Source organism: Homo sapiens, chromosome 10, assembly GCF_000001405.40.
Source record: "Homo sapiens chromosome 10, GRCh38.p14 Primary Assembly".
In the NCBI taxonomy this organism is placed as follows: Eukaryota; Metazoa; Chordata; class Mammalia; order Primates; family Hominidae; genus Homo; species Homo sapiens.
Window position 1 is genome coordinate 28,638,144 of NC_000010.11, and position 27,188 is coordinate 28,665,331.

The following is a 27,188-nucleotide window of genomic DNA, read 5'->3' on the forward strand; positions in this document are numbered from 1 at the left end:
TTCACAACTTTAGTCCCAGCTACTCGGGAGGCTGAGGTGGGAGGATCACTTTAGCCTGGAGTTCGAGGCTGCAGTGAGCTATGATAGTGCCACTGAACTCCAGCCTGGGCAACAGAGCAAGATCCCTGTCTCAAAAAAGAAAAAAAATTGCTTGAAAAATATTGAAATGTGTAAGGAGAAAAATAAAACATCCTTTATTTATTCTATTCAAGGATAACCATTGTTTATATATGTATGTATATATATACACACAGATATATCTCCAGATTTTTTTAATTAGTTAACTTATACAAACAAAATATATCTTTACAAAACTAGAATCATCCCATCCATATTGTTTTGTTAACTTCTCTTTACACTTAACATATAGATGGATATCATTGCATGTCAAGGAACATAGAACCACATGATGATTTTTACTGCCCACATATTATTCTAAGTACAGCAATATCATCATTTATTTCCTGACAACCACCTGTTGTTAGACATCAAGGTTGGTTTTTTTTAAAAGTTTTTTAATTAAAAAAAATTTTTTGGCCTACTTCAGTAAGCTAGTCTGGAGGCTTTTCTTAATTTTTTATAGTGCTTTAGATAACATTCTTATATATGTAACATTACTTGATTGTTTAGTGCTCAGGAGAAATTCTGAGATGCAAAATTGCTAGGCCAAAAGGAATATCTATTTTTAAGACTTTTGACAATGCCAAACTGACCTCCAGCAGTATGGACCAATTAATCTGGCCAGCAACATTGAAGAGAATGCCCTTTGTCACACCCTTTCTGGCCCAGGCACTGTCATTCTTATTATATATTGGTAATCTGATGAGTGAAAAATGATCATATAAAATGTTGACTTTAGGAAACTCTTTCTATAGGGAAGATCCTCTTTTTTTATTGATGTGTGTATTACGAATATTACTTCACAATTTATGACTTGTTTGTTTTGTTTTCCAAGATATTTAATGACAAGAAGAAAATTGCTTACAATTCAATAAGGGGAAAATAGGTGAAAAATTAGTGTTCAAGCTAACCCTCATTATTGTATTGTGATAAAAAACACCTAACGTGAAATCTGCCTTCTTAACGCACTTTTTTTTTTTTTTTTTTTTGAGACAGAGTTTTTGCTTTTGTTGCCCAGGCTGGAGTGCTGTGGTAGGATCTCGGCTCACTGAAACCTCTGCCTCCGGGGTTCAAGCAATTCTCCTGCCCCAGCCTCCCGAGTAGCTGGGATTACAAGTGCCCACCACCATGCCTGGCTAATTTTGTATTTTTAGTAGAGACAGGATTTCACCATGTTGGCCAGGCTGCTCTTGAACTCCTGACCTCAGGTGATCTACCTGCCTCAGCCTCCCAAAGTTCTGGGATTACAGGGGTGAGCCACCACACCCAGCCATTAACACATTTTTAAGTGTATAGCACAGTATTATTTACTTGCATGTTTTTGTAAAACAGATATCCATAACTTTTTCATCTTGCATGACTAAGATGTTATGCCCATTAAACAGCAACTTCCCATTTCCCCCTGCCATCAGCTCCTGGTAACTATTTTACTTTCTGCTTCTATGAGTTTGACTACTTTAGCTGCCTCATATAAGCGGAATTGTGCATGCAGTGTGTGTTGATTTGGGACTGGCCTATTGCATTTAGCATAATCTCCTCAAAGTTCATCCATGCATATGGCAGAAATTTTCTTCCTCCTCCTTCTTCTTCTTCTTCTTTTGAGATGGAGTCTCCCCTGTTGCCCAGGCTGGAGTGCAGTGGTGCCGTTTTGGCTCACCGCAACCTCTGTCTCCCGGGTTCAAGCGGTTCTCCTGCCTCAGCCTCCTGAATAGCTGGGATCACAGGCGCCCACCACCACACCCAGCTAATTTTTGTATTTTCAGTAGAGACAGGGTTTCACCGTGTTGGCAAGCTGGCCTTGAACTCCTGGACTCAAGTGAACCACCCACCTAGGCCTTCCAAAGTGCTAGGATTGCAGGTGTGAGCCACTGCACCTGGCCTTCCTTCTTTTTTAAGGCAAAGTAACATCCCATTGTACATGTATTACCACAATTTCTTTATCCATTCATCCCTTGAGGGGCATTTAGGTTGTTTCCAATTCTTGGCTATAGGGAATAATGCTGCAATGACCAGGGAAGTGCAAGTATCTCTTTGAGACTCTGCTTTCAATTCTTTTAGAATAGCCGGAAACAAGATTGCTGGATCATATGGTGGTTCTAGTTTTAAGCTTTTGAGAAACCTCCATACTATTTTCCATAACAGCTGCACCATCTTACATTCCAACCAATAGTCCACAAGGGTTCCCACTTCTCTACATTCTTGTCAGCATTTGTTGTTTTCTGTTGTTGTTTTTTAACATATATAATGACCATCCAAACAGCAGTGAGGTGGTATCTCTTCACGGTTTTGGTTTGCACTTCCCTGATCATTAGTGATGTGGAGCATTGCTATAGTTTGGATATAGTTGCTTGACACCTCCAAATCTCATGTTGAAACTGGATTTCCAGGGTCAGAGTTGGGGCTTAATGGAAGGTGTTTGGGTCATGGGGGTCGATCCCTCCCTATGAGGGGGTCGGGGGGAGGCTGGTGAGTTCTCAGTCTATTTGTTCCCATGAGAGCTGGTTGTTAAAGAGAGTGTGGCACCTCCTTTGGCTCTCTCTGGCTTCCTTTCTCACCATGTGATCTCTGCACATGCTGATGGGGCTTTGCCTTCCAGCATCAGAGCTCAGAGGAGAAGTGGACAAACTCCCAGCCCCACAGAATTGGGGTCCTGGGTCTCTCATTGACTAGAGTTGCAGTCATGTCATTTAACCTTCTGAGTTTCAGTTTTCTCATTTGTAAAATGCAGATGGAAATATTTCCCTATAAAGCTTGCATGGTTGGTTGTGAGAATCAAATGAGAGAATGTATGCGAAAGTGTTCGAAGAGATATGTGATTGTTGTTGCTATCGTTATTGGTAACAAGTGCTTCACTCCATCCATTTAGTACAGGGACGCTGGATGTTCACAGAGGTGACCCCAGGGAGAGGCAACTGCCACACAGATCAGCAATAAGGGAGGGGAGGGCTCTGGGAGATGCGCAGATGGCCCCCATTCTCAAGCAACTTATGGTCTAGCTCAGTCATCAGAAGATCACACCTATTTTCATTACAGTCTTAGTGTTATAAATATTTGCTAAAAATTATTGGTTAATATATTATGTATTTTTTTAATTTATTTTTTTGAGCTGGAGTCTCTCTCTGTTGCCCAGGCTGGAATGCAGTGGGGTGATCTCAGCTCACTGCAGTCTCTGCCTCCTGGGTTCAAGCAATTCCCCTGCCTCAGCCTCCTGAGTAGCTGGGATTACAGGACTACAGGCATGCGCCACCATGCCTGGCTAATTTTTGTATTTTTAGTAGAGATGGGGTATTACCATGTTGGCCAGGCTAGTCTCAAGCTCTGGACCTCAGGTGATCCACCTGCCTCGGCCTCCCAAAGTGCTGGGATTACAGGCATGAGCCACTGTGCCCCACCAACATATTATGTATTAAATAGCTCTGTTAACCAGAATCATTGGTCTCTTCCCAATTATACCATTCTGAAAGAGCTTACTGTCTTGCTGTTTTCACTATTTGCTTATTAAAATACAACTCTTCCCTACTTCCTACTAAAAATCTTGGAAGAGGTGTTTCTCCATCACTGTCTCGCACCAGGAAGAGTAAAGTGATCCAGGAATCACAGGGGTTGTTCAAGAGGCCAAGTCACCAACAAAGCCAGTCATGCAGGTGGTTACGTAGGAGGCAGCCCCACAGAGCCCCATAAACTCAGAAACACTGAGGTCGGTCTGTCCCACACTTAGGAAGCCCTTGCCATCAAGGAAGGGGAGAGCCACACTCAGCTTTTAAGTAAGGAAGCCCTTATATGCTTATAAAAAAGAAAAAGATGGGAGGGAAGTTGTAGGGCAGATTAAAAAACGAGAAGATAGGGGCCAGGCACAGTAGCTCACACCTGTAATTCCAGCACTTTGGGAGGCCGAGGCAGGTGGATCACTTGGGGTCAGGAGTTTGAGACCAGCCTGGCCGACATTGTGAAACCCCGTCTCTACTAAAAATACAAAAATTAGCTGGGCATGGTGGCACATGCCTGTAATCCCAGCTACTCAGGAGGCTGAGGTAGAATTGCTTGAACGCAGGAGGTGGAGATTGCAGTGAGCCAAGATCATGCCATTGCACTCCAGCCTGGGCAACAAGAGCGAATCTCTGTCTCAAAAAAAAAAAAAAAAAAAGAGAGAAGATAGGAAGAAAATCAATGTCTGCATTCAGCTCCTTCTCCCCTCTCCCCTCTCTGCTCCTTTTTGTCTCATTTAGCCTCCGCACCTACCTCTTTCTTCTTCTACTAACACGCTCCTACTCACTGGAAGGTGGAAACTCAAGCAATTAACATTAACACATGAATAAATGACAGATGTTTTTATAACCCAAATTTATAGAACGTGCTGGGGAACTATCTTGAACTCAAGGCTTTGCGCTTCTTCCTTTTTCCAGGAAGCAGCCCTTCTTGGGCTTCTTACCTCCAGCTGTTCTGCCAAGAAGTAAAATCAGTATTTAGGCTGTGTGCAGTGGCTCACACCTGTAATTCTAGCACTTTGGGAGGCCGAGGCGGTTGCATCACTTGAGCCCAGGAGTTCGAGACCAGCCTGCACTGCATGGCAAGACCCCGTCTCTTCAAAAAAAATACCAATATTAGCCAGGTGTGGTGATGTGTGCCTGTAGTCCCAGCTACTCATGAGGCTGAGGTGGGAAAACGAGGATATAGTGAGCTGTGATTGTGCCACTGCACTTCAGCCTGGGCAACAGAGCAAAATCTTGTCTCAATAATAGTAATAATTAATAAATAAAAAGGAAATAAGTATTTGGAAGTAAAATAAGCTGGAAGGAGAGCCCTTTATTGAGCCCAGGGTGCTCCCAGAGGGAGTTTGGGTGCAGAATTGGGGGGCCCTCCCTTTACTTCCTGGCTGTGGCGGGTGGAGGGTGAGTCCTGCTGCATTCAGCCTACTTGCTGTGAAGTTTGGTGGGTGAAGGATCCTTAGCCATGGGTTGGAGTGCCAAGCAGGTAAAGTCTCTCCTCGTCAACACCCAACTCCTCTCCTCCTGCAGAATGGCAGGGCCCAAGGGTAGGTGGATGAAACTGGCAGAGAGAGGAAGGCTGCCCATGTGCTCCATCCCTCCTGCCTTGTCTCCTGGAGCCCCTTCCAGGCCCTGCCTTGTGCGTCTGGAGTCTCCACATTGAACCCAAGGTGGTGGCCCTAAGGCTGCCACTGCAGTTGGGGAAGAGCCCTGTCTTGTGAGTAGAAGAAGGACACTCTGAGATGAACATGGTACAGGAAGTTCTTCTCACAAAAGTTAAGGTCTGGGCATTTATTCTTGGCAGAGGAGGCAGAGGCAGCTACTGAAGCTGTCTTGTCCCATCCAGTGTGCCAAGGAGTGACACAGATGGGATCAGTGCTGTTTGCCACATGTAGGGTCCCTGCCTTTCAAGCCCTGCCACAAGCTCCTCTTCTTAATGCTCGGCAAAAGCAGAGTTACCAAGGGAGGTGACATGGAGGAAGGAACAGCAGCACACAGCCTAGGCTCAGAACTGCTAGGGAACTGACTGCGAGCTGAGGGCTGCCAGTTTGCTGTCTTGGTCAGGCCCTCAGCAGACTGAGCATTCAGGGCTGACCTTGGCAAAAAGGGAGCAGTACCCAGAGATGGAAGAGAGGTCATGGGACAGCCACATTGGTGACTAATCTTGGGAAAGGAACTCGAGTGATTAATGTCATTAATATGGCTAGTCCATGTCATAAATGGTCCTCAAATACACGAAGGATTGGCTGGGTGCACTGGCTCATGCCTGTAATCCCAGCACTTTGGGAGGCCAAGGCAGGAGGATCACTCAAGGCCAGGAGTTCAAGACCAGCCTGGGAAACATAGAAAGACTCCATCTCTACCAAAAAATAAAAATAAAAATTAGCTGGATGTGGTGGTGCACATCTGTAGTCCCAGCTATTAGGGAGGCTGAGATGGGAGGATCACTTGAGCCCGGGAGGTAGAGGCTGCAGTGAGCCATGGTTGTGACACTGCCCTCCAGCCTGGAGGACAGAAGAAGACCCCCATCTTGAAAAAAAAAATACACAAAAGGGTATCATGGGAAGAATGGGAGTCAACTGTCTGTCTCGGCTAAGGTTGATCCAACGGGAAATTTTTTTTTTTTTTGAGATGGAGTCTTGCTCTGTCTCCCAGGCTGGAGTGCAGTGGTGCCATCTTGGCTCACGGCAACCTCCACCTCCCAGGTTCAAGCAATTCTCCTGCCTCAGCCTCCCAAGTAACTGGGATTACAGGAGTGCACCACAATGTCCGGCTAATTTTTGCCTATTTGTAGAGACAGTTTCTCCATGTTGCCCAGGCTGGTCTCGAACTCCTGGCCTCAAGTGATCTGCCTGCCTCAGCCTCCCAAAGTGCTAGGATTACAGGTGTGAGCCACTGTGCCCAGCGGGGAAATGAAATTTTCAAACTTTGTAAAATGTATGGGTTTGACAAAGGGAAGACTTCCCAGGTAGTGGGAGTCACTAAGCCCGAGGGAACGCAGAGGGAATTGGGGCCTTCTTGACACAGCCTCAAGGCTGGTCCTGGTTTGAGTGTGGGCTGTTGAAGGGAGGAGCTTCTCCCTAGCCTGGGGGAGGGGAGTGTCTGTGGTCTGAGTTAACCAAGAAATGGGTTCAGGGAACAGAAGAACGTGGAGACCAACAGGCAGCTGCGAAATGAGAGTTCTGGTGTGTGAGGTGGCAAAATGAGTTTCAACACTGACACTGTCAATCAAGAGAGAAGTGAGAGATACTTCTCTTGCCATGCTACTGTGATTATAAACTATTCATGCCTTGGCAAATGACTTTTACTGGTGACACTTAAGCAGAACTCTTGTTGAGCATCCCCACCGCCTTTTTATAGCAAAAATAAAATAAAATAAAAGAGGCTCAGAGGTACCATGACAGAGGTTTGGAGGTACCTGAGCAAATACCAGCTCAGGCCTCAGTCAGGAAGTTCTTACACTGGCAGAACTTCCATTGACATCGGATGACGTCCACTCGGGTGAAGCTACAGAATCAGGTCTTGGGAGGGTTTATTTATCTAGAAAACTGAATCAGAGTTGGACTGAAAAGCAGAAGACTGTGACGTATCTACATGGGAGCGGGGAAAAAATATCTTTCCAGTTTTCAGAACCTTATTGGGGCATCTCCTCATGTAGTTTATTTAGAATGGTGATGTTTAAAGTGCTTGGACTTTGCAGAAACCTACTGTATTTTATGGCCTTTGATCACTGATCTTTCGTAAATCTGTACCACAGCCAGCCTGCTCCTTTCTCCTTCCGCTCTGAGGCCTCCTGTAACAGAGGGTGTGTACCTGAAGAAGCTTTGGCTTTGCAGAGCTCCAGGAGTTCAGTGAGACCTTCTCCCTGGTTGAGGCAGGATTAAAAGGTCAGGAATATTCAAAATATAGACTAGGGTGAGCTATGCTGGACATCTAGATTCTAAGCATGGCTTCAGCTGTATTTCACTTTTTTTTTTTTTTTTAGAGTTAGTATCTTGCTCTATCACCCAGGCTGAAGCACAGCGGTGCAATAATAGCTCACTGCAGCCTCAAACTCCTGGGCTCAAGTGAGCCTCCCCACTCAGCCTCCCGAGTAGCTAAGACTACAGGCACACCTGGCTAATTTTTTTTTTTTTTTTTTTTGATACGGAGTCTTGCTCTGTCGCCCAGGTTGGCGTGCAGTGGCGCGATCTTGGCTCACTGCAAGCTCCACCTCCTGGGTTCATGCCATTCTCCTGCCTCAGCCTCCCGAGTAGCTGGGACTACAGGAACCCGCCACCATGCCCGGCTAATTTTTTGTATTTTTTACTAAAAATAAGCACTGTCTCTACTGAGACAGTGTTTCACCATGTTAGCCAGGATGGTCTCGATCTTCTGACCTCCTGATCCGCCCGCCTGGGCCTCCCAGAGTGCTGGGATTACAGGAGTGAGCCACAGCGCCCGGCCACACTTGGCTAATTTTTTTTTTTTTTCTTATTTTTTGTAGAGGCAGTATCTCACTGTGTTGCCCAGACTAGTCTTGGAACTCCTGGCTTCAAGCAATCCTCCGACCTCAACCTCCCAAATTGCTGGGATTACAGACATGAAACACTCTGCCTGGCTTATTTTGATTATCATTTAGTTGGAAATCTTTTCTAATTTCTCTGATAATTTTTTCTTTTGACCCATAGATTTTTCAGAAGTGTGTTTTTTGGTTTTTTGTTTGTTTGTTTGTTTGTTTTGTTTTGTTTTGCTTTTGAGATGGAGTCAAGCTCTTGTTGCCCAGGCTGGAGTGCAATGGTGTGATCTCAGCTCACCACAACCTCCAGCTCCCGGGTTCAAATGATTCTCCTGCCTCAGCCTCCCGAGTAGCTGGGATTACAGGCATGCGCAACCATGTCCGGCTAATTTTGTATTTAGTAGAGATAGGGTTTCTCCATGTTGGTCAGGCTGGTCTTGAACTCCCGACCTCAGGTGATCCACCCACCTTGGCCTCCCAAAGTGCTGGGATTGCAGGCGTGAGCCACCGCACCCAACCTGTGTTTAATTTTCAAATATTTGAGGCTTTCCTAATTATTTTACTGTTTTTAATTTCTGATTTAATTCCATTATAGTCAGAGAATATACTTTGCATAATTTCAATATTTTAAAATTTATTGAGGCTTTTTTTATAACCCAGCATATATATATATAGTCCATCCTGGTAAGTATCATATATACTTGAAAATAATCTGTATTCTGTTCTTGTTAGATATAGTGTTCTAGGAAGGTAGTCAATGGTGTTCAGAACTTCTAAGTATTATTTATTTCTTTATAAAGATGGGATCTTGCTAAGTTGCCCAGGATGGTTTCAAACTGCTGGCCTCAAGCAATCCTCCTGTGTAGCTGGGATTACAGGCATGAGCCACCATGCGTGGTTTTTCTGTGTATTTTCTATTCTTTACCTAGTTGTTCTGTTAATTGCTGAGAGATATTAAAACCTCTATAATTGTGAAAATGCCTCTCTTCTCTTTAATTATATCGATATTTGCTTCATGTGTTTCAAACACCTATTATTAGATATACATATACAAACATATACAAACCATATACAAACATATGGTTATGTCTTCCTGATGAATGGACAATTTTAAAATTTAGTTTATTTTTTAAATTGGCAAATAATAATTGCACATACCTATGGGGTACATAGTGATATTTTGATATATACAATTTATAGTGATCAGATCAGGGCAATTAGCATATCCATCTTCACAAACATTTATCATTCCATTGTGATGGGAACATTCAATATTTTCCATCTAGCTATTTGAAACTATGTAATATTAATATATTATTGTTAACTCTAGTCATCCTGTAGTGCTATAGAACACTAGAATTTATTCCTCCTTCTTAGTGTAATTTTGTATCCTTTAACAAATCTCCCTATCCCTCTCTTTCCCCTATCCTTCCCAGTTTCTAGTAGGCTCTGTTCTACTTTTTACTTCTATGTGATCAACTTTTATTAGCTTCTACCTATGAGTGAGAACATGCAGTGTTTAACTTTCTGTTCCTGGGTTATTTCACTTAACATAGTGTCTTCTAGTTCTTTCGAGGCTGCCTCAAATGACAAAATTTAATTTTTTTATGGCTGAATTGTATTCCATGGTGTATAAATACCACAGTTTCTTTATCCATTTATCTGGTGTTGGACACTTAGGTTGATTCCGTATCTTGACTATTGTGAATAGTACTGCAGTAAATATGGGATACAGGTGTCTCTTCGATATAATGATTTCCTTGTCTTTGGATAAATTTCCAGTAGTAGGATTGCTGGATCATATGGTAGTTCCATTTGTAGCTACAAATGGAAGGCCCTTTTTGAAGGACCTTCATACCACTCACCATAGTAGCTGTACTAGTTTGCTTTCCCACCAACAATGTGTAAGAATTCCCTTTTCTCTACACCCTCGCCAGCATTTGTTACTTTTTGTCATTTTAATAATAGTCCTCCTAACTGGAGTGAGATGATATCTCATGGTGGTTTTGATTTACATTTCCCTGATAGTGATGCTGAGCATTTTTTTCATATCTTTGTTGACCATTTGTATGTCTTCTTTTAAGAAATGTCTGTTCAGATAATTTGCCCATTTTTTAATCAGATTTTTTTTTTTTGAGGTGGTATCTCACTCTGTCACCGAGCCTGGAAAACAATGGTGCAATCTTGGCTCACTGCAAGCTCCGCTCCTGGGTTCAAGTGATTCTCCTGCCTCAGCCTCCCGAGTAGCTGGGATTACAGGCATGCGCCGCCATACCCAGCTAACTTTGTATTTTTAGTAGAGATGGGGTTTCACCAAGTTGCCCAGGCTGGTCTCAAACTCCTGATCTCAGGTGAGGCACCCGCCTCAGCCTTCCAAAGTGCTGGGATTACAGGCGTGAGCCACCGCTCCTGACCTCAGATTATTTTTTGCTGTTGAGATGTTAGAATTCCTTGTATATTCTGGATATTAATCACCTGTTGGATAAATCATTTGCAAATATTTTTCCCATTCTGTAGGCTGTTTTTTCACTCTGTTAATTGCTTCCCTTGCTGTGCAGAAGCTTTCTAGTTTGATATATCCCATTTGTTTATTTTTGTTTTTGTTGCCTGTGTTTTTGGAGGTCTTATTCATAAAATGTATTCCTGACCAGTGTCCTGGAGGATTTTCCCTATGCTTTCTTCTAGTATTTTTATTGTTTCAGATCTTATACTTAGGTCTCTGATCCATTATTTTTATTTTTATTTTTTTATGCTCCCCTCCCACCAGCTTTGATCCATTTTGAGTTGAATTTTATATAGGGTGAGAGGTGGTGGTCTGGTTTTATTCTTCTGCATATTAATATTCAGTTTTCTCAGCACCATTAATTGAACAGACTGTCCTTTCCCCAATGAGTGTTCTTCGCACTTTTGCCAAAAATTAGTTGCCTGTAGATATGCAGATTAATTTCTGAGTTCTCTATTTTGTTATATTGGTCTAAGTGTCTGTTTTTATGCTCATGCCATGCTGTTTGGGTTACTACAGCTTTGTAGTATATTTTGAGGTCTGGCAGTGTTCTGACTCCAGCTTCGTTCTTTTTGCTAGGATTGCTTCAGGGTCTTTTGTGGTTCCACACAAATAATAGGATTTTTTCTTCCTATTTCTGTGAAGAATGTCATTGGTATTTTGATAGAGATTGCATTAAATCTGTAAATTGCTTTAGGTAGTATTGTCATTTTAACAATATTAATTATTTCCATCCATGAGCATGGGGTGTTTTTCCATTTGTTTGTATCCTCGGCAATTTCTCTCACCAGTGTTTTGTAGTATTCCTTGTAGGGGTGTTTCACCTCCTTGGTTAAATTTATTCCTAGATACTTTCCTGTAGCTATTGGAAATAGAATTGCCTTCTTGATTTTCTCCTTCAGCTAGTTCATTGTTTGTGCATAGAAATGCCACTGATTTGCCGGGCGCAGTGGCTCACGCCTGTAATCCCAGCACTTTGGGAGGCCGAGGCGGGCCGATCACGAGGTCAGGAGATCGAGACCATCCTGGCTAACACGGTGAAACCCCGTCTCTCCTAAACATACAAAAAAATAGCCGGGCATGGCAATGGGCCCCTGTAGTCCCAGCTGCTGGGGAGGCTGAGGCATAAGAATGGCGTGAACCCAGGAAGCGGACGTTGCAGTGAGCCGAGATCGCACCACTGCACTCCAGCCTGGGCTACAGAGCGAGACTCCGTCTCAAAAAAAAAAAAAAAAAAAAAAAAAAGAAAAGAGTAAGTTTTGGTAGAATGTGGTGTCTCATGCCTATATGCCTATTATCCCAGTACTTTGGGAGGCTGAGGCAGGCGGATCACTTGAGGTCAGGAGTTGCAGACCAGCCTGGCCAACGTGGTGAAACCCCATCTCTACCAAAAATACAAAAATTAGCTGGGTGTGGTGGCATGTGCTTGTGGTCCCAGCTACTCGGGTGGCTGAGGCATGAGAATCGCTTGAACCGGGAGGCAGAGGTTGCAGTGAGCTGAAATGACGCCACTGCACTCCAGCCTGGGCAACAGAGTGAGACATTGTCTAAAAAAAAAAAAAGGCCTGGCACGGTGGCTCATCCCTGTAATCCCAGCACTTTGGGAGGCCAAGGCGCGAGGACCACGAGGTCAGGAGATAGAGACCATCCTGGCTAACACAGTGAAACCCCGTCTCTACTAAAAATACAAAAAATCAGCCGGGCGTGATGGCATGTGCCTGTAATCCCAGCTACTCGGGAGGCTGAGGCAGGAGAATCGCTTGAACCCGGGAGGCAGAGCTTGCAGTGAGCCGATATCGCGCCACTGCACTCCAGCCTGGGCAACAGAGTGAGACTCCCTTTCGGGGGAAAAAAAAAAAAGAGAGAAGTTTTTCTTCATCTTCCAAGAATGAATTTTCACTCCCTCAGGATGCTGTCTGCCCCGTTGAGAATGCATGCTTTCTCTGAGCATAATTCTACCACAGGGCGTTTACACTTACTGTACCCTCTGTGCAGAAAACTTCCTCCTTATAGCTGGACAACCCGCTCTCTTACTTCCTTGCGGTCTCACTAAAATGGTCACTTTATCAGAGAGGCACCACCTGGTCACTCTGTTTTAACTCACTCGGGACCCCCCATCCTCTTTCCTAGCACTATTCTCTATTGGACCTATTACCATCTGTAACCTCTATATGTTACTTGTCCATTGTGTGTCTCCCTCTGTGACAATGTAAGTTCCAGGAGATATTTGTATTCACGGATGTATCCTAGCATCTAGTCCAGGTCCTGGCACATGGTTCATGCACTATTTTTTTTTTTTTTTTTTTGAGACAGAGTTTCGCTCTTGTTGCCCAGGCTGGAGTGCAATGGTGTGATCTCAGCTCACTGCAACATCTGCCCCCTGGCTTCAAGCAATTCTCTTGCCTCAGCCTCCCAAGTAGCTGGGATTACAGATGTGCGCCACCACGTCCAGCTAATTTTTTTGGTATTTTTAGTAGAGATGGGGTTTCTCCATGTTGATCAGGCTGGTCTCCAACTCCCAACCTCAAGTGATCCACCCACCTCAGCCTCTGAAAATGCTGGGATTACAGGCGTGAGCCACCGCACCCAGCCAGTTCATGCACTATTAATATTTGTTGAGTGCATGCATGCCACTCTCACTTGTTCTTTCCTGCCTTCACTCTCTCTCTTTTTAAATCTCCTGTTCTTGCTTTAAGGTCCAAGTCAAGTACCAGCTTCTCCCTGGTCCCTTTCCTGGTTTTATGTGTTCAAGAATATTGTAAAGTTCAGGCTGAGCGCAGTGGCTCACACCTGTAATCCCAGCACTTTGGGAGGCAGAGGCAGGTGGGTCACTTGAGGTCAGGAGTTCAAGACCAGCCTGGCCAACATGGTGAAACCCTGTCTACTAAAAATACAAAAATTAGCTGGGTCTGGTGGCACATGCCTGTAATCCCAGCTACTCGGGAAGCTGAGGCAGGAGAATTGCTTGAAACTGGGAGGCGGAGGTTTCAGTGAGACAAGATTGCTCCACTGCACTCCAGCCTGGGCAACAAGAGCAAAACTCCATCTCAAAAAAATAAAAATAAAAATTGTAAAGTTCGTATGCTCTATACTCCTGGCAGGAGTTATGAAATTAATATTAATCATTGAAGAATAAACCTTGTTTCTCCTTGGCCTGATCTGCCTCAAAACTATTCAGAAACTTCCTTATGCACTCACTATTAACACCACCTTTTAGCTTGCAGACACTCTTGGTTAGTCCTGAAACTGCGTATGTTGATATGCCATTGCAAAACCAAGGGGCTTCTGAATTGAATGTGTGGGCACCAGAAAGGAGAGAAAATCATTTAGCATGCAGGCTTGTTAACACTGTTTAGGTATGCTTTGGGTAGATTCAACTGGCCTTGTGCTACTGGAAATAAAGAATAAATATATATTTTTGCTAGTTTTTATTGCATTAGATCATGTTGTTTTAACCCAAGAACCTCAGGAAGTGCAGAGTAAATTGAAACACTCAATCAAATAAAATAAGTATGCTTAAACTGAGTTATAGTTGGTTGTGCCGCAAGCGCTAAAGTTCAAGTTGACATTTCAGCCTGAGCTCATAAAGTTATTAGTGGGGAACCCATAGCAGGGAGAGGAACAGAGAGTGTATCAGACTTCAACATGTATGTTGTGACTCTTGTTACTTTAGAAGAAAATGAACCTCACTATGTAATAACCTAACTCTGTTGTGTTTATTCATTTTCTTTCTTTTTTTATTTTTATGTGTTTATTCATTTTCTTCTAAGTTCAAAGGTCATTTCTGGGTAGGAGAGCAAATGTCCTTATATTTTTTCCAAATAGACCATTTGCTTGGTGGGCCTCACCCCGGTGGAATGGAAGTACATTGGCAGCAACCACCATCCTTTACTTGGGGCTGCGTTACTATCCAATGAGCACACAGCGAGGGTGGAACTGCAAGCGTCTACACAACACACCTGCGTCAACTACAGCTTTGCTTTATCTTCGTGCAATTTTTGAAAAAAAGAAAAAAAGAAAAAACCAAAAGCAGTGCATTAGGGGCAATTCCTCCCCCTGCCTCCTCTCTCCAGTGCTGATGGGCTGAGTGTGGGGAAAGGCGGCTCCCTAGTATGGGCGGGCGCCCTGTAGCCTAGTGGCCTCTCATCCCAAGTGCTGGTAGCATCTGAGATTATCTGTAGGCTGTTTGTCTGTAACCTAGGGAACATGAGCAGGGAGTCCAAAACATTTCAGTTTAGAGTAAGTCATACTGAAATGCTGCCTATAGAACACACCAAACACCAGCAATAGAACTTTATTTGAGGAGCTGCATATTCCAAGGACAGCTATGGTAGCCTTTAGGCACAACTGTGAGCAGGAGAAGTCTGTGTTCAGCATCTTCCCGTTGTTCTTCTTTTGAGCTCATTCTCCCGTTCATGGTCCCTTCTAGGATACCCGTTCCATGGAATACCAGTAATGGATCTTTACAGCTTACCAAATGGTTTTTGTTTTGTTTTTGAGACAGTCTTGCTCTGTCACCCAGGCTGGAGTGCAGTGGTGGGATCTCTGCTCACTGTAACCTCTGCCTCCCAGGTTCAAGCGATTCTCCTGTCTAAGCCTCCCGAGTAGCTGGGACTACAGGTGCCAGCCACCATGCCCGGCTAATTTTTTGTATTTTTAGTAGAGACGGGGTTTCACCATGTTGACCAGGCTGGTCTCGAACTCCTGACCTCAGGTGATCTGCCCACCTCAGACTCCCAAAGTGCTGAGATTACAGGTGTGAGCCACTGCGCCCAGACTCCAAATGGTTTTTTTAATCAATTAAATTAATTAATTAATTTTTAGAGACAGCACCTCCCTCTGTCACCCAGGCTGGAGGGCAATGCTGCAATCATAGCTCACTGTGTCCTTGAATTCCTGCACTCAAGTGATCCTCCCACTTCAGCCTCCCAAGTAGCTGGGACCACAGGTGCATGTCATCATATTTGGCTAATTTTTTAATTTTTTTTTGTAGAGATGAGATCTCACCATGCTGCCCAGGCTGGTCTCGAACTCCTGGCCTCAAGCAATTCTCCTGCCTCAGCCTCCCAAAGCGCTGGAGATTATAGGTGTGATGTGAGCCACCATGCTCAGCCACAAATATGTAAATATTAACCTTGTCTTTGGAGTTTAAGGTAGTGGATATTGTAGCCCATCTGAATTTTCCTGACTCTTATTTCCGTAATTCTGAAATTTCTTCAGAATGTGGTGCGTTTTATTGTGCTACTATGTAAGATGAATAATTAGGTATTAAAATTATTTTTTCACTGAAGGAGAGGCCTGACTTTCACCAAAGCTATGCAACCAAATTTAGGTGAGAAGGTAGTTGATTGAGTGCATAAAATCCAAGAATGGGGCCACAGAATGTTGGCTCATGCCAGTAATCCCAGCACTTTGGGAGGCCGAGGTGGGCGGATCACCTGAGGTCAGGAGTTCAAGACCAGCCTGACCAACATGGTGAAACCCCATCTCTATACTAAAAACACAAAAAATTAGCCGGTCATGGTGGTGAGCGCCTGTAATCTCAGCTACTCAGGAGGCTGAAGCAGGAGAGTCACTTGAACCCAGGAGGTGGAGGTTGCAGTGAGCTGAGATCGCACCACTGTACTCTAGCCTGGGTGACACAGTGAGACCCCATCTCAAAAAAAAAAAAAAAACCAAACGAGCAAACGAGGAAGATCTCAAGGCAGAATCATCCTGTTCTGGATGACTCTCAACCAGTTTGCTAAAAAATGCATTCTGTCAACTCATTGAGGACTTTGGGAAAGTTTGGTTCCTGCCCCTGGCCCTGGTGCTCCTGTCCATGCCCTCGTCATGCATCAGGGCGGCGTTTTCCCTACTTCTCCCTACCTCTGCTCGGCCACTACTGCCCTTCTGGGCTCATCTCTGTCTAACTGCTGCTCAAGACCAACTATCCAACCTTCACATTGTCCAGAGGGCTTGAGGCCACAGCATTTCCCCTTTCCTCTCTCCTTAGAGTCTGGTCTTAGGGAAATAGGCTTTCGAAGATGGGGTTTTGACTGTAAGACCAGAAAGCCCAATTCTCTCCATCCCTTGTGGCTTGGGAGACTTCCACTGGTCAGAACTGACACCCTATGCCCCACTCATCTCTCAGCATCACTGATGAGGAATGCAGGAGGACCCTGTGATGGGGGGAGAATCTCAGGATGAATGAACATGGTTTTTAATCTCTCATTCAAAAGGCCTATGTTGGCCAGGCATAGAGGCTCACGCCTGTAATCCCAACACTTTGGGAGGCTGAGGCAGGTGGATCACCTGAGTCAGGAGTTCAAGACCAGCCTGGCCAACATGGTGAAACCCCGTCTCTACTAAAAAACCCCGTCTCCCTCTGCCCGGCCACCACCCCGTCTTGGAGGTGTACCCAACAGCTCATTGAGAATGGGCCTTGATGACGATGGCGGTTTTGTGGAATAGAAAAGGGGGAAAGGTGGGGAAAAGTTGGAGAAATCAGATTGTTGCTGTGTCTGTGTAGAAAGAAGTAGACATGGGAGACTTCATTTTGTTCTATACTAAGAAAAATTCTTCTGCCTTGGGATGCTGTTGATCTATGACCTTACCCCCAACCATGTGCTCTCTGAAACATGTGCTGTGTCTACTCAGGGTTAAATGGATTAAGGGCGGTGCAAGATGTGCTTTGTTAAACAGATGCTTGAAGGCAGCATGCTCGTTAAGAGTCATCACCACTCCCTAATCTCAAGTACCCAGGGACACAAACACTGCGGAAGGCCGGAAGGCCGCAGGGTCCTCTGCCTAGGAAAACCAGAGACCTTTGTTCACTTGTTTATCTGCTGCCCTTCCCTCCACTATTGTCCTATGACCCTGCCAAATCCCCCTCTGCGAGAAACACCCAAGAATGATCAATTAATAAATAAATAAATTAATTAATTAAAAAAAAAAAAACCCCGTCTCTACTAAAAATACCAAAAATTAGCTGGGTGATTAGCCAGGTGTGGTGGTGGGTGCCTGTAATCCCAGCTACTCAGGAGGCTGAGGCAGCAGAATTGCTTGAACCCAGGAGGCGGAGGTTGCAGTGAGCCAAGACTGTGCTACTGCACTCCAGCCTGGGCGACAGAGCAAGACTCCGTCTCCAAAAGAAAAACAAACAAACAAACAAACAAAAACCTATGTCAAGAGTCAATGTTTCACCATAGGACAAGCATAGTTAAGTCATTGTAAGATGGTCCATTTGTCCTAAAGTAGAAACATTTAAGGTGATAGGTGATTGTGAGTGTGTGTGTGTGTGTGTGTGTGTCCATCCTAGTAAACTGGGCTGAATTCCCTTTAACTACACTGGGTCATTCATCATGAAAGACAGCAACAGCATCCTCTCCACAGCTGGCATTCCCTGAAGGACTGATCAAGAATGAGGCTGACACATCACTTAAGTAACATTATTTAGGAAGTTCCTAATAGTCAATGCAGAAGAGTTACCTACAGAGGAGAATGAGCTTATTCTGTTTGCAGTCATCACTTTATGTTAACTGTCTGCCAAATACTTCTAAGAACTTGCTGTTCATTATGTTCTGTGTGGACAGAAAGGAATTAAGAAAGTGATCAGAGCCAGATGCAGTGACTTATGCCTGTAATCCCAGCACTTTAGGAGGCCAAAGTAGGTTGATCGCTTGAGCCCAGGAGTTCAAGACCAGTCTGGGCAACATGGCGAGACCCCATCTTTAAAAAAATAAAAAGAAGCCTGTAATCCCAGCACTTTGGGAGGCTGAGGCAGGCGGATCACCTGAGGTCGGGAGTTCAAGGCCAGCCTGACCAACATGGATAAACCCCATCTCAACCCAAAATACAAAATTAGCCAGGTATGGTGGCACATGCCTATAATCCCAGCTACTAGGGAGGCTGAGGCAGGAGAATCGCTTGAAGCTGGGATGTGGAGGTCACCGTGAGCTGAGATCATGCCATCGCACTCCAGCCTGGGCAACAAGAGCGAAACTCTGTCTCAAAAAATAAAAAAAAGAAAGTGATCAGGGATTTGAAAAATCAAAACTGAGAACTAAGTATCAAAATGTATCTTTGGACAATCCTATCTAGAGAGTTGTTCTCCAGCACATTGGACGGTACAGAAAAACTGACACCACTGAGGACAATGACTGAAACACAATGAAAATTAATTCACTATTTCACCAGACTATTTCCATGCCATGTTCTAATGCAGGAGCAAGGGCTTCCAGGTCAGGTTTCTACTGGGATTTGCAATGGAACCAGGGAAAAATGGCCATCTGAATAACACAGTTTTGCGTGTGTTAAAATGATCCCTAATTAGCACCTCAATAAGTAGTTTTCTGGTCAGAAACAGTGCCCCAGGGCTGGGCGCGGTGGCTCACACCTGTAATCTCAGCACTTTGGGAGGCAGAAGTGGGTGGGTCACCTGAGGTCAGGAGTTTGAGACCAGCCTGGCCAACATGGTGAAACCCCATCTCTACTAAAAATACAAAAATTAGCTGGACGTGGTGGCGCATGCCTGTAGTCCCAGCTACTCAGGAGGCTGAGGCAGGAGAATCGCTTGAACCCAGGAGGTGGAGGTTGCAGTGAGCTGAGATCACACCATTGCACTCCAGCCTGGGCAACAAGAGAGAAACTCTGTCTCAAAAAAAAAAAAAAAAAAAAAAAAAAAAGAAGAAGAAAAGAAAAGAAAAGAAAAAGAAAAGAAAGAAAGAAAGAAAAGAAAAGAAAAGAAACAGTGCCCCAGCCTGGGCATGGTGGTTCACATCTGTAATCCCAGCACTTTGGGAGGCTGAGGCGGGCAGATCACTTAAGGTCAGGAGTTCGCGACCAGCCTGGCCAACATGGTAAAACCCCGTCTCTACTAAAAATACAAAAAAATTAGCCAGGGGTGGTGGCACCCAACTGTAATCCCAGCTACTCAGGAGGCTGAGGCAGGAGAATCACTTGAACCTGGAGGTGGAGGTTGCAGTGAGCTGAGATGGTGACACTGCACTCCAGCCTGGGTGAAAGAGCAAGACTCCATCTCAAAAAACAACAACAACAAAAAAAACCCCAGTGCTCCAGTAAACCAGAAGAGTAGATTGAAGTGCAGCTTGGTAAAGTACAGAGATCACGGATGACTCAAAAGACCTGGGTGAGTCCTGGGTCCCCACTCCACCTCTTTGTAGCTGCATGACACTCGTCCAAGTCTTGACCATGACACTCATCAAAGACTTGACTTGACTTTTTTTTCTCCAAAAATGAAGATACGGTATCCATATCACAGAATTGTGAGGAGAAACAAATGAAGTAAAGTGCAGCTCTCTGAAAACTATAATGCACCGTGTGAATATTAGTTATCATTGAACAGTCTCCATGAGACTGACCTTAGGAAACAGGTTGTGTCGGAATCTGTCGTCAGGTATAGGGTTAGGTGTCTGCCTGTAGGAGCCTTCTTATTGCTGGCAGAGTAGGGTTCCAGTCTCTTGGCATGTCTTGTAAGAACTGGAGAATACCTGGTGCCTCTAGCTCTAGGCCAAAGGTTCTCAAAGGGTGGTCCCCAGTTGGCAGCATCAGCATCACCTGGGAACTTACAAGACCTGCAGGAGATGCACCAGAGACTGGACAGGTGACTGGATGGGTGACTGTTCTATTTTTTCTTTTTCTTTTTTTTTTTGGAGATGGAGCCTTGCTTTGTCACCAGGCTGTAGTGCAGTGGCACCATCTTGGCTTACTGCAACCTCTGCCTCCTGGGTTTGAGCAATTTTCCTGCCTCAGCCTTCTGGGTAGCTGGGACTACAGGCATGTGCCACCATGCCCAGCTAGTTTTTGTATTTTTAGTAGAGACAGGATTTCACCATGTTGGCCAGGCTGGTCTCGAACTCCTGACCTCAGGTAATCCACCCACCTCAGCCTCCCAAAGTGCTGGGATTACAGGCATGAGCCACTGTGCTCGGCACTTTTTTTTTTTTTTTTGAGACGGAGTCTTGCTCTGTCACCCAGGCTGGAATGCAGTGGCCCGATCTCGGCTCACTGCAACCTCCGCCTCCCAGGTTCAAGTGAGTCTCTTGCCTCAGCCTCCCAAGTAGCTGGGATTACAGGTATGTGTCACCACGCCTGGCTAATTTTTGTATTTTCAGTAGAGACAGGGTTTCACCATGTTGGCCGGGCTGGTCTCAAACTCCTGACCTCAGGTGATCCGCCCGCTTCAGCCTCCCAAAGTGCTGGGATTACAGGAGTGAGTCACCGTGCCCGGCTGACCCTTCTATTAATATTATTTAAAGACGTAAAAAATGTGGGGAACTTGAGAAAGAAAGCCATGGAAGGTGTCATTGATGGCTCACTGATACATCCTGCAGTGATTGTCAATCCATTTGAGATATTTGCAGCCACAAAGAAAGCAGTTTGCCTCTACAAACTGGGAGAAATGAAGACAAGAGCTCTATCTACTGAAATTATTTTCAACCTTTCCCCAAATAACAATATTTCAGAGGCATTGAAAAAATGTGGTATCTCAGCAAATGACACTTAAATTCCAATTGTTTATACTAACGAGGGAGAAAAACAAATAAATCAAGGATATCTAATATCTCAAATAGAAGGTCAGCAGGTTTCTCTGAAAAATCTTCCTGAAATAATAAATATTACAAAAGTCAAAAAGAAATATACACTCCCTCCACAAGAAGAAAGCATTGGGAACATTATTGGATGGTATTTGTAGAATGTCAACAAAGAATGTTTTGTGAAAAGGATGTTTTGTGAAAAGAATTATTTGCAGAAATTTTCGGCATTAAAGAAAACACTGGGCCTGTAATCCCAGCACTTTGGGAGACCAAGGTGGGCAGATCACATGAGCTCAGGCATTCAAGACCAGCCCGAGCAACATGGTGAAACCCCATCTCTATAAAAATACAAAAAATTAACTGGGCATAGTGGTGGCGCATCTGTAATCACAGCTACTTGGGAGAATTGCTTGAACCTGGGAGGAGGAGGTTGCAGTGAGCCCAGATCGTGCCACTGCATTCCAGCCTGGGCGACAGAGTGAGCCTCCGTCTCAAAAACGAAACAAAACAAAACAAAACAAATGTATTTTCCTTTGCTGATTAAAATGTTATTTTATTTTATTTTTTGTAGTGATGGCATCTCGCTATGTTGCCCAGAGTGGTCTCAAACTCCTAACCTCAAGCGATCCTCCCACCTCAGCCTCCTAAAGCACTAGGATTATAGGCATGAGCCACCATGCCTTGGTCCCACCTCTTTTATTGTTTTAAAAGATAACCAGTTACTATTATTTGTTAGTGCCTTCTAGTCTTCTACTTCTATTCAAATATATTTTATTTTTATGTAATTGGAATAAAAATTGCAAACACTTTTAAAAAAGAAGAAATGCAAATTCTCAGGCCCTACCTCAACCTTACTAAATTGTACACTGTGGAATGGGGCCCATGAATCTGTTTTTCCAAGCACTCCAGATGATTCTAAAGCATGCTGAAGTTGGAGAATCACTGACCTAGGTCTTTGGAGCCTCTGCAAGAACCAAGAACGAGGACTCCACTTTAACAGCCTTTTCATTATCTATCTTGCATAGTGTGAGCAAGCCGCACAAAAGAGGCTTCAACTCCTAGAGCCAGGAGGGACTTGAGAAGCCATTTCTCAGGTCAGTTTGTTTTGTAGCTGAGGACTTTGCAACCCAAGGGGCTAAGTGAAGTCTGACCCAGAGCCAGGCCAACAGCTGATGTCAAGGCGACTCTCAGCCCAGGGCCCTTCCTGTGTGTCCTCTCCCTGTCTTGTAGTCAGAGCAAAAGCACCATGCAGTTGTGACCTGAAGGCAGTAGAGCTTGAAGGAGCAAGGTCAGGTGGAGAAGCTGGGTTTAGGTAGACCCACTTCGTTCTAGCCCAGAGGGTGGGGCCCCAGGGGAAGTTACAGCTACCTTCCTTGTTCTTGGTCTTGTAAATTGCCTGATGGGTTCTTCCTGCCTGCTACAGACAAAACCAGTTCGCTGAGACTGTGGTATTGCAGTAAAGAAAGAGTTTAAGCTGTGTGTGGTGGCTCACACCTGTAATCCCAGCACTTTGGGAGGCCGAGGTGGGCAGATCAATTGAGGTCAGGAGTTTGAGACCAGCCTGGCCAACATGGCAAAACTCTGTCTCTACTAAAAATACAAAAATTAGCCAGGCATGGTGGCTTGCACCTGTAATCCCAGTTACTAGACAGGCTGAGGAAGGAGAATTGCTTGAACCCAGGAGGCGGAGGTTGCAGTGAGCCAAAATCACGCCACTGTACTCCAGCCTTGGCGACAGAGCAAAAGCAAGAGTTTAACTGACTTGAGGCTGGCCGTGTGAAAGAACTGGAATTGTCACTCAAATCAGTCTCCCAGAAAACTGGGGTTAGGGTTTTTCAAGGATAGTATGGTGGGCTGGAGACTAGGGAATGGATGCTGCTAACTGGTTGGTGATGAAATCACAGGGTGTGGAAAAATGCTTCTTGTTCACTGAGTCTGCCTCTGGTTGATGGCCACAGGACTGGTTGAGTCATGAGTCACGATCCTGGGTGGGGCCAGTCGGTTGCCAGAATGCAAATATCTGAAAAACATCTCAAAAGACCAATCTGAGCTTCTACACCAATGGTGGTATCTATAGGAGCAACTGGGGAAGTCACAAATCTTGTGGCTTCTGGCCACAGAACTCCTGAGCAGTAAGGGATTATAGAAACTATTCCTACATTTTAGCAGAGTTCAGGACCCTCCCATAATTTTAATCTCATCGCCTTTCATTAGTTTTTGGTCCCTGAGCAAGGAAGGGGTTACTTTGAGGGAGGGACCATTATCATTCTTGCTTCCAACTTAAACTATAAACTAAATTCCTCCCATGGTTAACTTGGCCTATGCCCAGGTGTGAGCAAAGACAGCCAGCCTGTGAGGCTAGAGCAAGATGGAGTCAGCCATGCTACACCTCCCTCACTATCGTCATCTTTCAAAGGCAGTTTCAGCCTGGAAGATAAAATCATCTCCAGGTCCTTAGCGATTGGTGGGTCTCCCATTTATGGTCCTTGAAATGGAACCAGGTATGGACCCCAGGGGCCCTGGGGTGTCCCTTCCATGGAAGCCATTTCCCTGACTGGTGTGAGGGTCAGGAATTTCCCATAGAGCATTTTTCCATAGGAGAAGGCCAAGCTCTGTGCAGAAGGACCTTGCAAATAAAATGAAGCATTGGAGAAAGCAGCTACTGACAGCTCCCTAGACAGGTTGCTTCCTGTAACTGAAAGCTGAAATCCAAGAATGACCTAAAACTCATTCCCAGAATTCCTTACTTTAGGCTCATAGAAACTGAGACAAGTTTGGGAGTGGTAGTTATTTAATCAACTCAAAAACAGCCCATATTTTCAGCTATAAAGTCTCTCCCCTTCCTCTCCTTCCCTTCTCCTCCCTCTCTTAACAATTTCTTGCCACATCCTGTTCAAGGAGAAACAAACCACTATTTGCCAGTGATGATCCCTTCATAGCTTCCCAGCCTTTGAGATGGAGGGTGGTGTCCTGAACTCAGAGCTTCGGTGCAGTTGGTGTGACCTTGAGGAAGCCATTTAACCTAGTCTTGGTCCCCTCAACTGTAAAATCAGAGACAGATGTGATCTTTCTTTTTTTTGAGATGGAGTCTCACTCTGTCACCCAGGCTGGAGTGCAATGGCACAATCTCTGCTCACTGCAACCTCTGCCTCCTGGGTTCAAGCAATTCTTCTGCCTCAGTCTCCCGAGTAACTGGGATTACAGGCTTCCGCCACCACGCCTGGCTCATTTTTTGTATTTTTAGTAGAGACAGAGTTCACCATGTTGGCCAGGCTGGTCTCGAACATCTGACCTCAGGTGATCTACCCGCCTCAGCCTCCCAAAGTGCTGGGATCACAGGCGTGAACCACCGTGCCCAGCCTCATTTTTATTAATTAATTAATTAATTTTTGTTTGTTTTTTGAGAGAGGATCTCGCTCTGTTGCCCAGTCTGGAGTATAGTGGCATGATTATGGCTCACTGCAGCCTCAATCTCCATGGCTCAAGCGATCTTCCCACCACAGCCTCTGAGGAATTTGGGACTACAGGCACATGCCACCATTTCTGGCTAATTTTTGTATTTTTTGTAGAGACAGTGTTTCACTGTGTTGCCCAGGGTGATCTCAAACTCCTGGGCTCAAGTAATCCACATGCCTCGGCCTTCCAAAGTGCTAAGATAACAGGCGTGAGCCACCGCATCCAGCCCCCATCATTTAATTTAAAGAGTGGCTGATGTGGTCTCACATAGCTCTTAGCATCCGCATGAACTATATGATTAATATGATCAGTATAGACTGGGGATTAATGTAGAGTTAGAGGCTGATTTTTCCTGTTAGTCTCTTGGCTTTGGTCTCCAACTGGATAAGAGTTCCTGTTAATACAATGCTGTCAGTTTCAGTTAGGGACAAAAATTCAGTCGCCCATCATTTGGTGTTATATAGATCAGGAAAGGAGGGGATCATTTCTTAATTCATCTGTTTGGGGGCTTCCTGTTTGTTTGCTTTTTAAAGTCAGAGTCAGTCAAAAAGTTTGTATTCAAGACCAGCCTGGCCAACATGGTGAAATCCCATCTCTACTAAAAATACAAAAATTAACCAGGCATGGTGGCTAATTCCAGCTACTTGGGAGGCTGTAATCCCAGCTACTTGTGAGGCTAAGGCAGGACAATCACTTGAACCCAGGAGGTGGAGGTTGCAGTGAGCCAAGATCACACCACTGCACTGCACTCCAGCCTGGGCAACAAGAGTGAAACTCCATCTCAAAAACAAACAAACAAACAAACAAAAAGTTTCTAAATTTGTAGGGGAAAAAAAGGCCAGGTTTAGATCATAGAGATTAGGAATGATGCCTTGTACTGTTCAGTTAGCACATTTCCATTCAAAAATATTAAGACCCAGAAATGAACTCGGATGGCCCAGAATAGAAACTCTCCCTTCTGGTGGGTGGCACACACTCTTAGGCAAGGGTGATTTATTTAGAACAATGGCCACTGTTGCACTTCATGGCATATATGCACCTGCTGGAGGTAACACCACCTCTTCTCTGTCTTATGCACAAAGGGAATTTGGCTCATTATTGTCTGAAGCCTTAAAAAGACTCTGGGAACAGGGGTCACAGTCCTCTTTTACTGAGATCATTGCATGACATGGAGACAGAGTCATTAAAATATCGAGTCTAAATATTTCCTAGAACGACCTTGCTTCTTGTATCAACAGCAAACAGCAGCTGCTGTCTTCCCAGCTGAGCGCTGCTTCCCTCTCACCACAAGAGGGCGAGAAAGACCTGCGACAGGACCTCTCCCTCCCTGCGGGAGGATGGAAGAGAAAGCTCTGGGCTCCGTTAAGAGGGCATTTTATTCTCTGGAAAATAAAAGTAATAAGAGATGCCAAAGTTCCAGTGTTGGCTGAAGAAACAGTGGTTACCCTGGTGGGTTTTTTGTTTGTTTGCTTGCTTCCCCTCGCCTCAGTCTTTTAGAGCTTGGAACATAATTATTCTCTAGAGAATGAACACAGCATTATTATTTATTATTATTATTATTTAGAGACAGGGCCTCACTGTGTTGCCCAGGCTGGAAGGCAGTGGTTTGAGCAGAACTCATTGCAGCCTCGGACTCCTGGGCTCAAACAATCTTCCTGCCTCAGCCTCCCGACTAAGGGGCTACAGGAATGCACCACCATGCCTGGCTAATTTTCATATTTTTTGTAGAGAAGGTTCTTACTATGTTGCCCAATCTGGTCTTTAACTCCTGGCCTCAAGCAATTCCCCAGTCTGGCCTCCTAAAGCTCTGGGAATACAGGCATGAATCACCAGGCCTGGCCTGAACACATTATTTTAAGTAACTTGAATGATGTACGTGTAAGAATCCAAACATTTGATAAAAGAGGGTTTGAGGCTGGGCACGATGGCTCACACTGGTAATCCCAGCATTCTGGGGGACCAAGGCAGGTGGATCACGAGGTCAGGAGTTCGAGACCAGCCTGGTCAACATGGTGAAACCCCATCTCTACTAAAAATAAATACAAAAGAAATTAGCCGGGCATGGTGGTGCGTGCCGGTAGTCCCACCTACTGGGGAGGCTGAGGCAGGAGAATCGCTTGAACCTGGGAGGCGGAGGTTGCAGTGAACCGAGATTGTGCCACTGCATTCCAGCTTGGGCAACAGAGTGAGACTATGTCTCAAAAAAGAAAAAAAATAAAGAGGGTTTGATGGTTTGGAGCATAAGCTGCTTCTCTTGCTACCAGGCTATGTGATGTGCAGAAAACTTGGGAGGGGACTGGGGAGGACAGTGTTTTCAAGAGAAGAAAAGCCAAGAGGCTGGGATATGGTGATCTATTCCTGGTACTGGAAGGTCCAGTACACCTCCAGTAGGTACACCTCAAGAGGTACTTACCAAGGAAAAGTGTTAGCAAAAGCAGGGAAAATAAACTATGACTGCTCCTTAAAGAAAGATATCAGATCTACTTGGGTTTTCCCTCCTCTCTCTCCCACCTCCTTCCTCTGCCTTTTTTGTCTGGAATTATGATACGGTATGAAATGATTTTTTTTTTAGACAAAGTTTCACTCTT

The 27,188-nt window shown here is 44.8% G+C and overlaps 2 pseudogenes, besides 2 other annotated features; both read left to right on the top strand.

Annotated features, from left to right (window-relative positions):
• Nucleotides 14,487-14,612, top strand: RNU4ATAC6P (RNA, U4atac small nuclear 6, pseudogene; annotated as a pseudogene).
• Nucleotides 16,888-17,450: an enhancer, noted in NCBI's record as "NANOG-H3K27ac hESC enhancer chr10:28943960-28944522 (GRCh37/hg19 assembly coordinates)". NCBI's record gives its function as "activates a minimal SCP1, AML or CMV promoter by ChIP-STARR-seq in naive H9 embryonic stem cells {active_cell/tissue: H9 hESC(naive)}" and the evidence as "EXISTENCE:reporter gene assay evidence [ECO:0000049][PMID:30033119]".
• Nucleotides 19,703-20,266: an enhancer, noted in NCBI's record as "H3K27ac-H3K4me1 hESC enhancer chr10:28946775-28947338 (GRCh37/hg19 assembly coordinates)". NCBI's record gives its function as "activates a minimal SCP1, AML or CMV promoter by ChIP-STARR-seq in naive H9 embryonic stem cells {active_cell/tissue: H9 hESC(naive)}" and the evidence as "EXISTENCE:reporter gene assay evidence [ECO:0000049][PMID:30033119]".
• Nucleotides 20,836-21,386, top strand: TPRKBP1 (TP53RK binding protein pseudogene 1; annotated as a pseudogene).